The sequence below is a fragment of the Homo sapiens genome, chromosome 11 (genome assembly GCF_000001405.40).
Source record: "Homo sapiens chromosome 11, GRCh38.p14 Primary Assembly".
NCBI classification, from domain to species: domain Eukaryota; kingdom Metazoa; phylum Chordata; class Mammalia; order Primates; family Hominidae; genus Homo; species Homo sapiens.
In genome coordinates this window covers 82,781,197-82,795,652 of record NC_000011.10, presented here as the reverse complement: position 1 = coordinate 82,795,652, position 14,456 = coordinate 82,781,197, and the positions used below count along the sequence as shown (strand labels likewise).

Genomic DNA, 14,456 nt, shown 5'->3' with positions numbered 1-14,456 from the left:
AGAGCTGCATGATTATTTAAATTATGTCTCAGTGAAATTATTGATTTAAACTAAATGAGAGCAAAAGTGAGATATAATCTTCAAGAAATGAGGGAGCATGACTTAGAGGTCAGTAGATGACAGCAATGAAGTGGGAATAGGGGATTGTATAGCCTGGTGATGTGATTAAAAGCAGAGTGTTAAGGCAGAGGGGTGAAGTGGTCAACAAGCATCAAGATGGGCAAGGAAAACTTTTACCCCCACCAGGGATCTGTGTGGTACAAGGAGTTTGGAGATAAAACAGCAACCACTTGAGAGGGTTTCTGGAGAAGCAATGTCCTCCTGGGAGAGTCAGATGTCTGTTAGACCAAGAAGGCCAAGGGAGAGTACAAGATTGAAGATGTATGGGATTTGCTGATGACTGGCTCTGATTTCCAGGGGGATATAGCGGAAGCGTTTCCTCAGACATCTCCCCAGGTAGATGGCATCAGAAAAGTGAATATAGCAAGCCAAATGGGGATAAGAGCCCAGAGGACAAGGAAGCTCCACACTCTTTTTGGTGTCTGACTTAAGTAGATGTAAACGGCATATGAGGTAACCCTGATGGTCTCCAGGCAGGAGGGGTGTAGGCTGTGAGTGCTGGAGGGACAGGGAGGAGAGAGAGTGAGGGTCCTGTCAGGGGCACAGAACTCAAAAGAGGGGTGGTCTTTTCTGGATCAACCCAAACTCTGAGGCACTCTTCTTACTTATATGGCACAAGGTGCTCTGAGGCTTTCTCCTGACTCGATTGGTGGATGTTTCTGGTGAAACTGGGCTGCAGTTAGTTGTTTAAAACCATCTGTTGACATTTATTCCAGACCTGCTTTGGCTCCCCTTATGAACCAGGATGTTGGAAAGTAGCCTGGCAGGCTCACTCCTAAATTTGGCCTTTAAAATGGTGAATAACTCAGTTTGGTTGAAGATAATCACAGGATTACTAATAGATCATTCGTGGCAGGATGTAAGTCAGTCAGGATATCCTTGATTCTGGGATGTCTGGCAAAGCGCTGGGAGTAAGAGCTCATTGAATCCTAGTGTGCTCTTTGGGCCAGGTCTGCTAGTGGTGTATACTATACACCTTTCTAAAAGTGTATTGGGCATCATACTTTTTGGACTATTCAGATTATTTTTAATATATTATAAATCTTGCTGCTTTGTAGCTCTTCACTCAATGACTCAATGTCATCATCTGTCACTGCAAGAGTAGATACCACCATAGCAAAATGTCCATTACTCAGAATTCAGCTTCACCCCTGAATTCTTCCATGAATTTCTAGTAAAACAACGGTTTTGAGATCAGACATTTTTGACAGAAAAGATTGATTTTTTTCCTTTTTTATTTTTTTTTTGAGATGGTGTTATTGCTCTGTTGCCAATGCTGGTCTCAAAGTCCCATATTCAAGCAGTCTTCCTGCCTCAGCCTACCAAGTAGCGACAGGGATGCACCATTTTGCCCGGCCAGGATTGATTTTTTAAGTCTTAAGCTATCTTTACATACCAAAAGCATTGCTTGAATTTCTATTTATTTATTTTTGAATTTTTCAACAAGCTCATTTAAATGTAGCTAGTGATTTTTAGTTTTTGTTTTGTTCTGTTTTGTTTTGTTTTGTTTTTTTTTGTTTTGTTTTGAGACAGGATCTAGCTCTGTCACCCAGGCTGGAGTGCAGTGATGCAATCACAGCTCCCTGCAGGCTTGACCTCCTGGGCTCAAGAGATCCTCCTATCTCAGCCTCCCGAGTAGTTGGGACTACAGGCATGTGCTACCACGCACAGCTAATTTTTATTTTTTGTGGAGACAGGGTCTCACTATGTTGCCCTGGCTGGTCTGGAACTCCTGGGCTCAAGCAATCCTCCTGCCTTGGCTTCCCAAAGTGGTGGGATTACAGGCATGAGTCACTGCACTGGCCTGGACTTTTTGATTACAATCTATGGTAACAAATATATTTTTTGTTATCACTCAACACACACACACACACACACACACACACACACACACACACACACATACACACATTCATGTAAAATTGTAATAAAAATTTCAGATGCCCTCTGATTGACACTTTTTATTGTGTTTTAGATTTTATTTCTAAAAATCTGGTCTTGGCCTGCTAAATTGATTTTATGACACATTAGTAAAGTATAATTTTAAAAATTACTATAAACCATAATACAAGGAATGCTCAGGGTACATAGGAAAAGGCTCTGACTCATGAGAAATAACTAGAGAAATCCCACCTCTTCTGGCATTGTTAATCTTAGAAGGAGGAGAGAGAGCATGGTAGGGTAAGACAGACGAACACCAGCGTCCTCATTTTCCCCTCTTTTTAGGGTATAACTTTGAGGTGTGTGTGTATATGTGTTTGTGTGAGGGATGTGTGTGTGTGTGTGTTTATGTGTGTGCACCATGGAAGTCTTCAGAGAGGCATAAGACAACTGAAGGCATTAGAAATACTGGCCTGGGTCCAGGGCTTAGGGACGCAGCAAGCCTCTAGAAGAAGTTGTGCATTCTGGTTAGCACTGAGCCTAAGCTGAGGCAGAAGCTGTACAGTGCAGCAGTGGCTGACAAGTGGTCTAGATAGATAGTGTAAGATAGTACTGCTGATTGCCCTGGTCTGTGCAGGACGCACAGGGAATTCGAAAGTTTCTGCTTGGTTTGGTGATGGGGCTCAGATGTGCCAAGGAGATTAGTGGACTAGCCGAGCTGGGCTTGAGATAAAGAAAAGATCACATAGAGGCCAGGTGCAGTGGCACACACCTGTAACCCCAGCACTTTGGGAGGCAGAGGCAAGTGGATCACTTGAGGCTAGGAGTTCAAGACTAGCCTGGCCAACATGGCAAAACCCTGTCTCTACTAAAAATACAAACATTAGCCAGGCATGGTGGCACATGCCTATAATCCCAGCTACTCGGGTGGCTGAGGCAGGAGTACCACTTGAACCCGGGAGGCAGAGGCTGCAGTGAGCTGAGACTGCGCCACTGCACTCCAGTCTGGGAGACAGAGCAAGATGCTGTCTCAAAAAAAAAAAAAAAAAAGAAGGAAATAAAGATCACATAGGAGTTTTGCAACCCAGCCAAATGACTAGTACTAAGAATTTCAAAAGCAGTAGATACAGTATGATAACCGTAAAAGATATGATGGAATCAGCAACACCTCATCGTGTCCCAGTCTAGAGGCCAAATGAGAGTACAATATAAGGAACTTTCTGGAGAAATGTGAGGACCCTGCTCTTCAACTGCGGCAAGTCCAGGTAAGCTCCTCCTCACTGACCCAAATGCCATTTCTAGGTGGATCAGAGGAAGGGAGAGAAAGTCAAAAGAGCATTGACCCCAAAGACACCAACATACACAAAAGAGACTGTTAAACATGAAGAGAAAGAGATACCATGAATTGAAAAATTTGTCTTCTCTCTCCTGTAAGTTTTGAGGATAATTGGAGCAATTAAAGAAAATATGAAATAGTAGTTTGTTAAATTGCACCCTCGTTACAGGAGTACTAATTTCAAGATATTTTGTCTTAGTGACCTGGACAAGCATAATCATGCTTATCTCCACCTACCAACTGGGAAGTTTAGACAGCTTACCAATCACCCCAACTCAGAAGGTATGTGCCGTTGGCCTGATATCACCGATAAGAGTGCACAAACAAAAACATAAGGTAATGTGCCCAAGGCCCTGTAGCTGGTAATTGCTTATCTGCCTTCAGGCCTATGTGATTTCCTCTCCACCTTGCAGTCTTCTTCGGTGATCTAATTAGGCTATTGTCCCAGGCAACATGACAATTGGCAGTCACTGATTCCTTTGCTTTGTCCTAGGTCATACATAGGACAAAACAGAAAACAGGCAGATGATAATTTGATGAATACACTCAAAACCAGACTCTAGAGAGCCTTTAGATGCTCTTAATACTCACTTATGTTTAGTGCTTTATAGTTCACAAACCTTGTCACATTTCTTAGTTGACCTTTATGAAAATCTTGAAGCAGATGTTCCTATTATTCTCTCTCCACAGAAGAAGCAGCCAGGTCTTAGGAGGCCCAGGTAAGTTTCTGAAAGGCACAGTGAAGGAGTGGAACAGAAACCCTCAGCCAGATCATTTTACTCCTAGAGAAACGCACATCCACAGACTCTGCTGCCCTATTTAGGTCAAGGACAGGAAGATACTGGCAAAATGTTCTGTTATGTTACTATCTTCTTCTCTGCAAGTGGGCTACAGGCCCCTTGGCTCTCCCTCACATTCCCCTTCTTGTCCTCTGACTGGTGCTTATCTTAGTGTGTCTGGCTGTGATGTTCAGGACAAGTGGAGTCTGAATTTTTGACAGGTGATAAATGGCTATGGTTTCATTTCCCTCCCTCCAGTCTGAGGGTTGGCAAGCACTGCAGCTGGGAAGCAGCTGCCCAGAGCTGGGGTGTGGTGGGAGAGGGGCCTCCGGAGGATGCCTGGCTACAGGCTGATGCGGTTACACAGGCTCCTGCCTCCACAGCCTTTGAAAGAAGGTCTTGCGTGAACTCAGACCTGTCTTACCATCTGGTTAGGTATATTTTCCTCTCTGGTTTTGAGGAGTCAAGAGGTAGTTAAGGGATAAAGGACAAATGTTTCCCTGGTGACTAGAGACCTATCTTGGAGGCCTGAATAAACTGGCTTCCACATAAATGAAAAAACAAAAAGCTCTAAATGAATTGTAAACAGAAGAACTGATGTGTCTCTTATCAGTCTGCTGCCTGTAGACTTTGGCTGAGAGATAATCACCATGGTTAGTGAGGATCCTGGAAGCCAGTTATCATTCATTCCTAACTGTGTTCTCCCGCCATTGTTTTGGCATAATAAAACCCTAAAGAATATAAAATCCCCAGTGCTCTGCAGCATCGTGGCTTCTCTTTATGAACCATAACCTCCTCATCCTTTTCCCAGTTCTCCCCATCTGCTTGCAACCCCACGCCTACCAAGTGCAAGGGACAAGGAGGGGGCTGAGCAGGTGGCATTCTGGACCTCACACCTTCACTTCCATCAGAAGAGCTCTGCTCTCATCTGCTTTATGAAATGACCTACTGGGCACCATTTACTCCTAAGGTTTCCTCTGTGGCAAGGTGAAAACTGCCTGCTGTCAGATGTTCACCATCTTTAGCTACAACAGAAAGGGTTGGGGAAGAGAGTGAGGTGGGTGGATTCAGGCTTCCTGCTCTCCACTTACTGTATAAGTAGGCACAAATAATTGTTGGTGCTTACCATATGTTTTTCCCTCCAACTGTGACACAAGAAGGAAGGTGAGGAAGCCCTGGCACATCCTGTGTGTTCCAGTGTCTGAAACGTAACTAGCTGCCTTTTCTTGATCAGCCTAGTGTCTCATGTCCTCTTGCCTCAGCCTCCTGAGTAGATGGGACTACAGGCTTGCACCACTACACCTGGCTAGCATTTTATTATTTGCAGACACAGAGTCTAGCGATGTTGCCCAGGCTGGTCTTGAACTCCCGGTCTCAAGTGATCCTTTTGCCTCTGCCCCACAAAATGGTGGTATTATAGGCATGAGCCACCATGCCTGGCCCCTTGCTAGATCTTGATGGGCAAATTCTAGGAAGTTTCCTGCCTGAATTCTTGTTAGGAGGAGATAAACAGGAATGTGAACACTTAAGGAAAGCCCAGAGAAAATAGTAAAATCTCTATTAGGATTGAGAGATTGGGCTATACATAGAATTATTAGCAGGCACTGGGCCAAGTGCTGGAGCCCAGAGGTGATCAAGACCCAGTCTTTGCCTTCATGGTGCTCACAGGCCAGGTGCTCTTCATGGAAGAGAAGGCAACTTCCAAAGCAAATAGTTCCAATACAGTTTGCTCAGTGTTGTAATAGATCGCATATCAAAATCCATAGGAAGGAGAGAGTAATTGCTGAACGGTAAGCTTCATGAAGGTAAACATCCTGTCTGTCTTATTCACTACTATTTACCTAGGACATCGCAGGGTGCCTGGGATGTAATAGCTATTTATATGTATTTGTTAAATGGAATTGATTCATTTACTCCAGGTATATCAAATGGTTTGACTCATTGCTGTGATTATTCATTGATTTATTTAGTCATTTATTCACTCCTTAAATAGTATTAGCTATTCATAGGTAGTAAGCAACTTATTATCATTTAATTTGAATATAAAGTTATATTCAAATAATAATAGGGGGAATTTTGATTAAATACAAGTAAAAAAGTAATGGCCATGGACAAACCTTAGGGAATAGCTGACAAGTAATGAAAACACCTACCCTTTATTGCAGAATGATAGTGTGCCAGGTTTCTCATAAGGGGAATAGTATTCTATTTCTAATGCAGACTGAAAAAGTTTACACAGCTGACATAACTTACCCAGCTCATATAATGGGATGCAAACCGAAGTCTCTGCCCGACTCCAAGTCATTCCCTTGGAGTCAGGCAGGATCATTCCCTACTCTACTCTACCTCTGCCACGGGGTATGAAACTTTAAAGTCAGGCCCTGGAGAAGTGACTGGAGCTGGACTCAGGGAGGGCTCAGGTTGGAGGAATGAAGCTCTCTGTAGGGGAGACCTGACCTCTGACCTCTGAGGGGGATAGCCAAGAATTTGATTTAATCCAGACTGGTATCAGGTGGCCAGAATTTTTACCTGGGAACCAGAACCACTCATGATACACCAGCAAGGGTTCTTGGCAGTGATGATACTTAGACAATAGGGAATGGGGGTAAGGCAGGGACAGGATTTGAAGTAGGATTAGAGCTAGCATCAGGTTGGGAGGTGGTGGTGAGAGAATTGGGATGGGGCAGAGACTCCTCAGCAAAGATGGGAGGGCCTTAGGACCCAGATCAAGCAGGCTGGGTTCAAAGAACTAAAGTAAACCAGGACATTGCTGAACTAAATTAAAAGTTGCTTTTAAGGGGACAGCTCTCATTTTAATCCTTTTGCCGATGTATTAACAACATAGCTGCCGTGTGGTGCGGTATGAAGAGTTTTGGACTTCAGTCACCTTTACCCATAGTTGCTGGCTCTGAAGGTTTCTTCAGGTGACTTAATCTCCCTGGATTTCATTTTCCCCATCTTAAGTGTGAGGATTTTGACACTTGCTTCACTCTGTGGTTCTGAGGATCATATGAGAGAGTTTGTGAAGTAGCACACTGTCAGGATGCTGAGGCTTTATAACCACTGAAGTCGTATTCTTATGTTCTATGTCTCTCACAGAACCAGGGCTTGAAACTATGTGAGTGGATGCTGGTTTTGAAGGCAGAGCTGGTGGAATGGTACACGTCAGTGATTGTAGGGCAACAGGGGCATCGATTAAAAATGGACCTTCTTAAGGTGGGGGGTGGTGGGGCTTAATTGAAAGTAACAAGAAATGCTCATAAAACAGCTCTTTATGCAGAGAGGAGCCAGTTTTTGCCTTGTTGCTAAGGTCCCGATTGTTTCCTGGCTGTGTTTTGTGTGTCTGTGTCAGGCCATTCTGTGGGCTCCTTTCAGGAAGTTAGTGATATTGGCCTGCAGATAATTAGATCAGTGTCATCACTTTCACTGTCCCCCTTTTTATTCTGCTGGGACAATTTGCATGAAAATAGAAGCGGGTGATATTCCTTTCCCATTAATAAGGCTCAGTCTCTTACTTGGGGGGCTATCCACATATAGGGGATTTGGAAAAAAATCCCAAATCTACATATAAGTGAGCCTTTTTTTAAAAAGGCCTTAAAGACCCAAATGTTCAGCCCAACCATCCCCTTGCCAAAATGGCTTTAAAAAAGGTTCCCTCATAAGGTAGAAGATCTTCATCTGGGATGCAGGTTTTTCAAGAGAAATGTTTAGGAGGCCTGTATTCTGCAGTGAAATTTACTCTGATGTTAATAAATATATATTAGTTTTTACAGGTCTTCTCTCAGCTTACAGCTTATCAAAGAACTAGACCCATTAGAAATCTTACTTTGCAACAATGAAGTTTGGGAGGAAGATTCTCATATTTGTTATTAATTCGCTATAAAGCAGTGGAGATGCAGTAGAAAGGATAGGTTTAGGCATCAATCAACTAGATTTAAATATTTGCTCCACCATCTACTGGTGGTATGACCTCAATAACCCTGTTTTCTCATCCATAAAATGGGAACGACAGACTTACCTTGCTATTTTCCTTCTCATATACGAGCATGCAAATGATATATAAAAGGCCTAACAAGGCAAGAGGCATGTATTAAGTGCTCGTTGGATTTATTTTTACTTCTTTTTTTTTTTTTTGAGACGGTGTCTTGATCTGTCACCCAGGCTGGAGTGCAGTGGCGAGATCTCAGCTCACTGCAAACTTCGCCTCCTGGGTTCAAACAATTCTCCTGCCTCAGCCTCCCAAGTAGCTGGAATTACAGGTGCCCACCACCACACCCGGCTAAGTTTTTGTATTTTTAGTAGAGATGGGGTTTCACCATGTTGGCCAGGCTGGCCTCGAACTCCTGACCTCATGATCTGCCTGCCTCGGCCTCCCAAAGTGCTGGGATTACACGTGTGAGCCACTGTGCCTGGCCTATTTTTGCTTCTTGTTTCTTTGTAATCTTCCTTCTCTCATATTTCTTAATAATTAATGAAGAGATGGTATCATTCAGGCACCAGACTTCCTGGATCAATGGATTTTACACTAACTGCTTCCAGCACATGTGAAATCCATGACATGGGGTAGTTTGTTTTTGATGTAGATCAAAAGGCAGATGTTAGCTTGTTTTTTGTCTATTAAATGTAAGAAATTTGCCTCCAGAAAGTGCTCCCATCCAGAAAATTCTCTCATCCAGAAAATTTTATGGGCAATTTTTTTTTGAAAGGAGTATGAGAGGAGTGTGGAGAGGGTAGAGGAGGAGGGGAAAAGAGAGGCTTTATTTTTTTTATGATTACTTTTCCGGTGCTAAGAGAAGGAAGAAAAAAAAGTTTTCTGAGTTATTTATGAAGCTACGTTTATTTTTTAGGCCAGGATAGATATTCGAGATGTTATTTTATGTTTTTTTCCTCTACATTTTCCCCATTTCCTTCCCTGCTTTGAGCAGGTAGCTAGTCTTTATGCTTCTTTGCCCGAGGATTTGTGGTAAGATAGAGAGTAGGGGCTACCCACATCTTCCTTTCCTGACTTTTCTCCACCAAAAATCCAAGCCTGCTGAAGAAATCTTGCTGGATGTCCTGAGGGGTAGAAGTGAGGGATAGCGCCCTTTGAGAAGCATCAAGCAAGAGACTGGGTAGGGGATAAAGATTTGTGAGTCCCTTGAATGATGACTCTTTCTCTGCTCTTTAGCGGTACCACCCAGAAGATGCAGAACTTTAGTGGAATCTCTAACCCTGTCCAAGGTTCCCATGCTATAATTAATTTTAAAAAGTAGCTAACATTTACACCTGCTCTAATTCATTTATTTCTCACATAAACTCTATGGGTTAAGTATTATCATTCTCCCCATTTTATAGATTAGAAAACTGAGGTTCAGCTAGGCAGAGACAGAATTTAAACCTGGGGGATTTGGATTTGGTCCCTGAGCCTATTTTTCTAACCATATTTTTCTGTAATTCTGTACTTCTGGGCCAGAACTGGCCTGCAGATTATGCAAGACTGCGTATCAGCAAGAATGACCTATGACTGAGCATATCTCAAAGTCTTGATGCCATGTAAGACCCCAGAACCTTGTAACACCTGGGGAAGGGGTAATCCCAAGAATGGTTGAGGTATAACTTCCTGTCTATAGAGCTGGATGGGAATCTTAGTGTTGAAGTGAAAATGATTAAAAATAAATTTTAAAATGTGAATGTTGTTTTCTCTGTTGTTGTTTATACATTGAGATTCTTATCTGCTAAAAACTGATAAAATGTGGCAAAGGAGTGCAAAAAAAGTATTTATATAATCTCACCTAAAATATTAACATTAATAACTCGAATTAATTGAGTGCTTACATATGCCATGAGACATAATTTTTTTTTAAAACGTATATAGATTTTGGGGATACAAGTGCAGTTTTGTTACATGGATATATTGCATAGTGGTGAAATCTGGGCTCTTAGTATAGCCATTACCTGAATAGTGCACACTGTACTCCTCAAGTAATTTCTCATCCCTCACCCCCCTCCCACTCTTCTCAGTCTCCAGTGTCCATTATTCCATGTGTATGAATTATTTCACTCCTGCTTATAACTCCAGTGTCTATGCCCACGTATATGAATTATTTCACTCCCACTTATAACTAAGAACATGCAGTGTTTCATTTTCTGTTTCTGAGTTCACTTAATTGCTTCCAGTTCCATCCATGTTGCTGCAAAAGACATGATTTTGTTCTTCTTATGCTTGAGTAGTATTCCATTGCACATATATATATACACCACATTTTAAAAATCCAATCATCCACTGATGGATACTTGGGTTGATTCCATATCTTTGCAATTGTGAATAGTGCTGAGATAAACATACCTATGCAGGCATCTTTTTAATATAATGATTTATTTTCCCTTGGGTAAATACCCAGTAGTAGTATTGCCAGATCAAATGGTAGTTCTATGTTTAGTTCTTTTAGAAATCTCCATATTGTTTTCCATAGAGGTTGTACTAATTTATTTAATCCTACAGTCTTATGTGGACAGTATTAAGGTCCTAGGGAAATTAAATAACTAGTCCAAGCACAGACCATCACTAAGTTGTGGAGTTAGGATTCAGATCCAGGATAATGTGATTTGAAAGCCATTGCTCTTTTCCAGTATGAAGCATCTAATGCTTCCACACTACCACCACTAGGTAGAAACATCCTCAATGAAATAATACAGGTTTAATTTATGAACATATTAAAAAGCGAATACATCGTAAAACATGTAGTTCAATTGCAGAAATACTAGGAAAATCCAATATTAGTAAATATAATAATAAAATCATCACATATAAATCATCTTGATAAAAGTTAAAAAGTAATTTGAAATGAATTATATACCATGGTTAACTGGAATTTATTCCAGGTATTCAAAACTGATTCAACATTTTAAAAATCAATTAATGTAATTTTTCACATCAACAGACTAGAGAAGAAAAATTATAGAATTTTTCAAATGTAGAGAAAGCATTTGACAAAATCCAACACCCATTCATTATATACATTCTCAGAAAACTAGGAATAGACAGAAACTTCAAGTCTGAGAACAAAATAAGGATGTCTCCCTCACCATTCCTATTCAACTTCACATTGGAAGTCCTAGCTAATGCAATAAAATAAGAAAAGGATTTAAAAGGGATATGGATTGAAAAGGAATAAGTATAACTATGCTTGTGGATGATATAATTATCTATTTGGAAAATTCTAAAGAACCAACAAAAAATCCTGGAACCACTACGTGATTATAGTGAGTTTGTAGGAAAAAAGATTAATATAAAAAACTCAATTGCTTTTCTATCTAATGGCAATGAACAATTAACATTTTAAATTAAAAACACGACTTCTTTTATATTATCACTAAAAATGACATAGTTATAAACTTAACAAAATATGTATAATACTTATATGAGGAAAACTATACAACTGTTAAAAAATCAAAGAAAACAAAAATGAAAAGATATTCCATGTTCACGGACAGCAAGAAAATGTTATTAAAATGTCAGTTCTTCCCATATAGATTTAACATAATCCCAATCAAAATCACAGTAATTTATTTCATGGATATTGGTAAACAGATTCTGAAGTTTATATAGAAAGGAAAAAGAACCAGAATATCCAACACAATATGGAAAAAAAAAATAAAGTCAGAGGATTGGCACTCTATGGCTTCAAGACTTACTATTGAGCCATAGTGATGAAAACATTGACAAAGTAATAGACAAATAGATCAGTGGAACATAATGGAGAGCGCAGAAATAGACCCATGCAAATATAGTTCAACAGGACTTTGACAAAGGAGCAAAGGCAATTCAATGGAGAAAAGGCTTTTCAATAAATAGTGCTGGAACAACTGGACATCACCATGCCAAAAACCAAAATAAACAAAACAAAACTTAGACACAGATTTTACACCTTTCACAAAATGAACTCAAAATGAATCATAGACCTAAACATGACACAAAAAACTACACAACTTCCAGAAGACAACATGGGAGAAAATCTAGGTGACCTTGGGTTTGACGATGACTTTTTAGATATAGTACCAAAAGTATGATCCATGAAAGAAAAAGTTGATAATTTAGACTTCATTAAAATTAAAGACTTCTCTGTGGAAGATAATATTAAGAAAATTTAAAGAAAAGCCACAGACTGGGAGAAGATATTTGCAGAACACATATCTGATAAAGGACTTACACCCAAAATATACAAAACACCCTTAAAACTTAACAATAAACAACCAACCCAATTGTGTTAAAACAACCCAATTACAAAGTGAGCAAAAGATCTGAACTGAAGCACCTCCAAAGAGAATATACAGTTTGCAAATAAGCATATGAACAAATGCCCAACATCATATGTTATTACGTAATTGCAAATTAAGACACCAATACACACCTATTAGAATGGCTAAAATCCAAAACACTGACAACACAAAGTGGTGAAAATATGTAACAACAGGAATCCTCATTCATTGCTGGTGGAAATGCAAAATAGTAGAGCTATTTTGGAAGATAGTCTATCAGTTTCTAACAAAGTTAAACATAGGCTTACCATATGATTCAGCAATTTCACTTCTTGGTATTTGCCCAGATGAGTTGAAAATTTATCCACACAGAAATTTGCACATGAATGCTTATAGCAGTTTTATTCTTGATTGTCAAAAATTGGAAGCAACTAAGATATCCTTCAATGGGTGAATGGAAAAACATACTGTGTACAATGGAATATTATTCAGTGATAAAAGAAATGAACTATAAAACTGTAAAAAGACATGGAGGAAACTTATATGTATATTGCTAAGTGAAAGAAACCAATCTGAAAACCTACTTACTATATGATTCCAACTATTTGACATTCTGGCAAAGACAAAATTATAGAGACAGTAAAAGGATCAATGGTTGTGTTACCGGTTGAAGGTAGTTGTTCAGGTTCTTGGCATTTTGAACAAAGAATTGGACAAAATGCGCAAACAAAGCAAGGCAGCAAAAGCAGAGATTTATTCTAAAAGAAAGTACACTCCTCAGGGTGGCAGTGGGCTCAAGCAAGTGGCTCAAGAGTGTCGGTTACAGATTTTTCTGGGATTTAAATACCATCTAGAGGTTTCCCATTGGTTCACTCTATGCAAACGCAGTAGTGGCCCATCACCAGTCTGATTGGTTGTAGGAGGGGACCAATCAGAGTGAAGAGTAGGCCCATGACCAGTCTGATTGGTTATGGGAAGGGACCATTTAGAGATATTGTCATTTTTCATCTGCCACCCAGAAAAAGGAGGGGTTGAAAAGGAAGTAGCCTCTGATGTCCAGTCAGCATGAATCGGCCTTAGGTTCCCTGCCTCCAGACCCTATTCTCTGCCTCAGTTGGTAGAGGTTTGGAGAAAAGGGACAAATAATTGTAACACAGGGCATTTTTAGGTCAGTGAAACTATTTTGTGTGACACTGGAAGAGTGGATACATGGCATTAAGCATTTGTCAAAATTAATAAAACTGTACAACCCAAAAAATGAACCCTATGGTAAACTATAAACCTTAGTTAATAATAATGAATCAATATTGGCTTATCAGTTGTAACAAATAGCACAAATGCAAGATATTAATCATAAGAGAAACCATGTGTGCATGGGGAGGGTTTTCATGGGAAATCTCAGTTTCCGTACAATTTTTCTGTAAGCCTAAAACAACTCTAAAAAATAAAGTCTATTAAAAATCGTTATTAATAAAATTCAATATCTATTCCTGTTTAAGTGTCTTTGTTTTATCAATGAAAGGTTACGTTTTGAATGTGACAGATTCTACCTATCTTTAGCCACCAGTCAACAATTACTCTATCATTTCTTCTCTCCTCTTTACTGTAAAATTTCCTGAAAGTGTTGGCTATACCCACTCCACTTTCTCATCTTCTAGCCTATCCTAATTCTTCACGATCATAATGAAACCACTCTTGTTTACCAGTAACAATTGCCGTCCTGTGTCAAAAACCGAATGGTTGATCTCAGCCAGCATCTTTCTTGATCTCTCAACAGAATGCAACAGTTTTGTCTCCATGACACTACATTCTTCTCATTTTCTCCTACCTCATTGGCTACTCATGACCAGCTTCTTTTGCTGGCTCTTTCTCTTCATTCTGAATTCTAAATGTTGAGGTGCTATTAGACTCTTCCTTCCCTATATGATCTCATTTAGTATCACGGCTTTCTTTACATAACTTTTACATATTGATGTCCTGGGTTTTATCTCTGGCCCTGACCTCTTCTCTGAGCTCTAAACTCATGAACCCAACAATCTTCACTTTGATTCTAAGAGGCAGGTCCATCACATATAGTTTTAGGTGCACACACACACACATAT

General features: G+C 40.0%; 1 long non-coding RNA gene across 1 annotated transcript in view; it reads right to left on the bottom strand.

Annotated features, from left to right (window-relative positions):
* The window catches only part of LINC02734 (long intergenic non-protein coding RNA 2734), a 36,240-nt gene extending 22,089 nt beyond the window's left edge, over positions 1-14,151 (bottom strand). The window contains exons 1-2 of the long non-coding RNA NR_183631.1: positions 14,058-14,151; positions 3,958-4,064 (exon numbers count right to left, since the gene is read on the bottom strand). This is a non-coding gene — a long non-coding RNA (long intergenic non-protein coding RNA 2734). The remainder of the gene's footprint in view (positions 1-3,957; positions 4,065-14,057) is intronic.
* Positions 14,152-14,456: the final 305 nt, after the last annotated feature.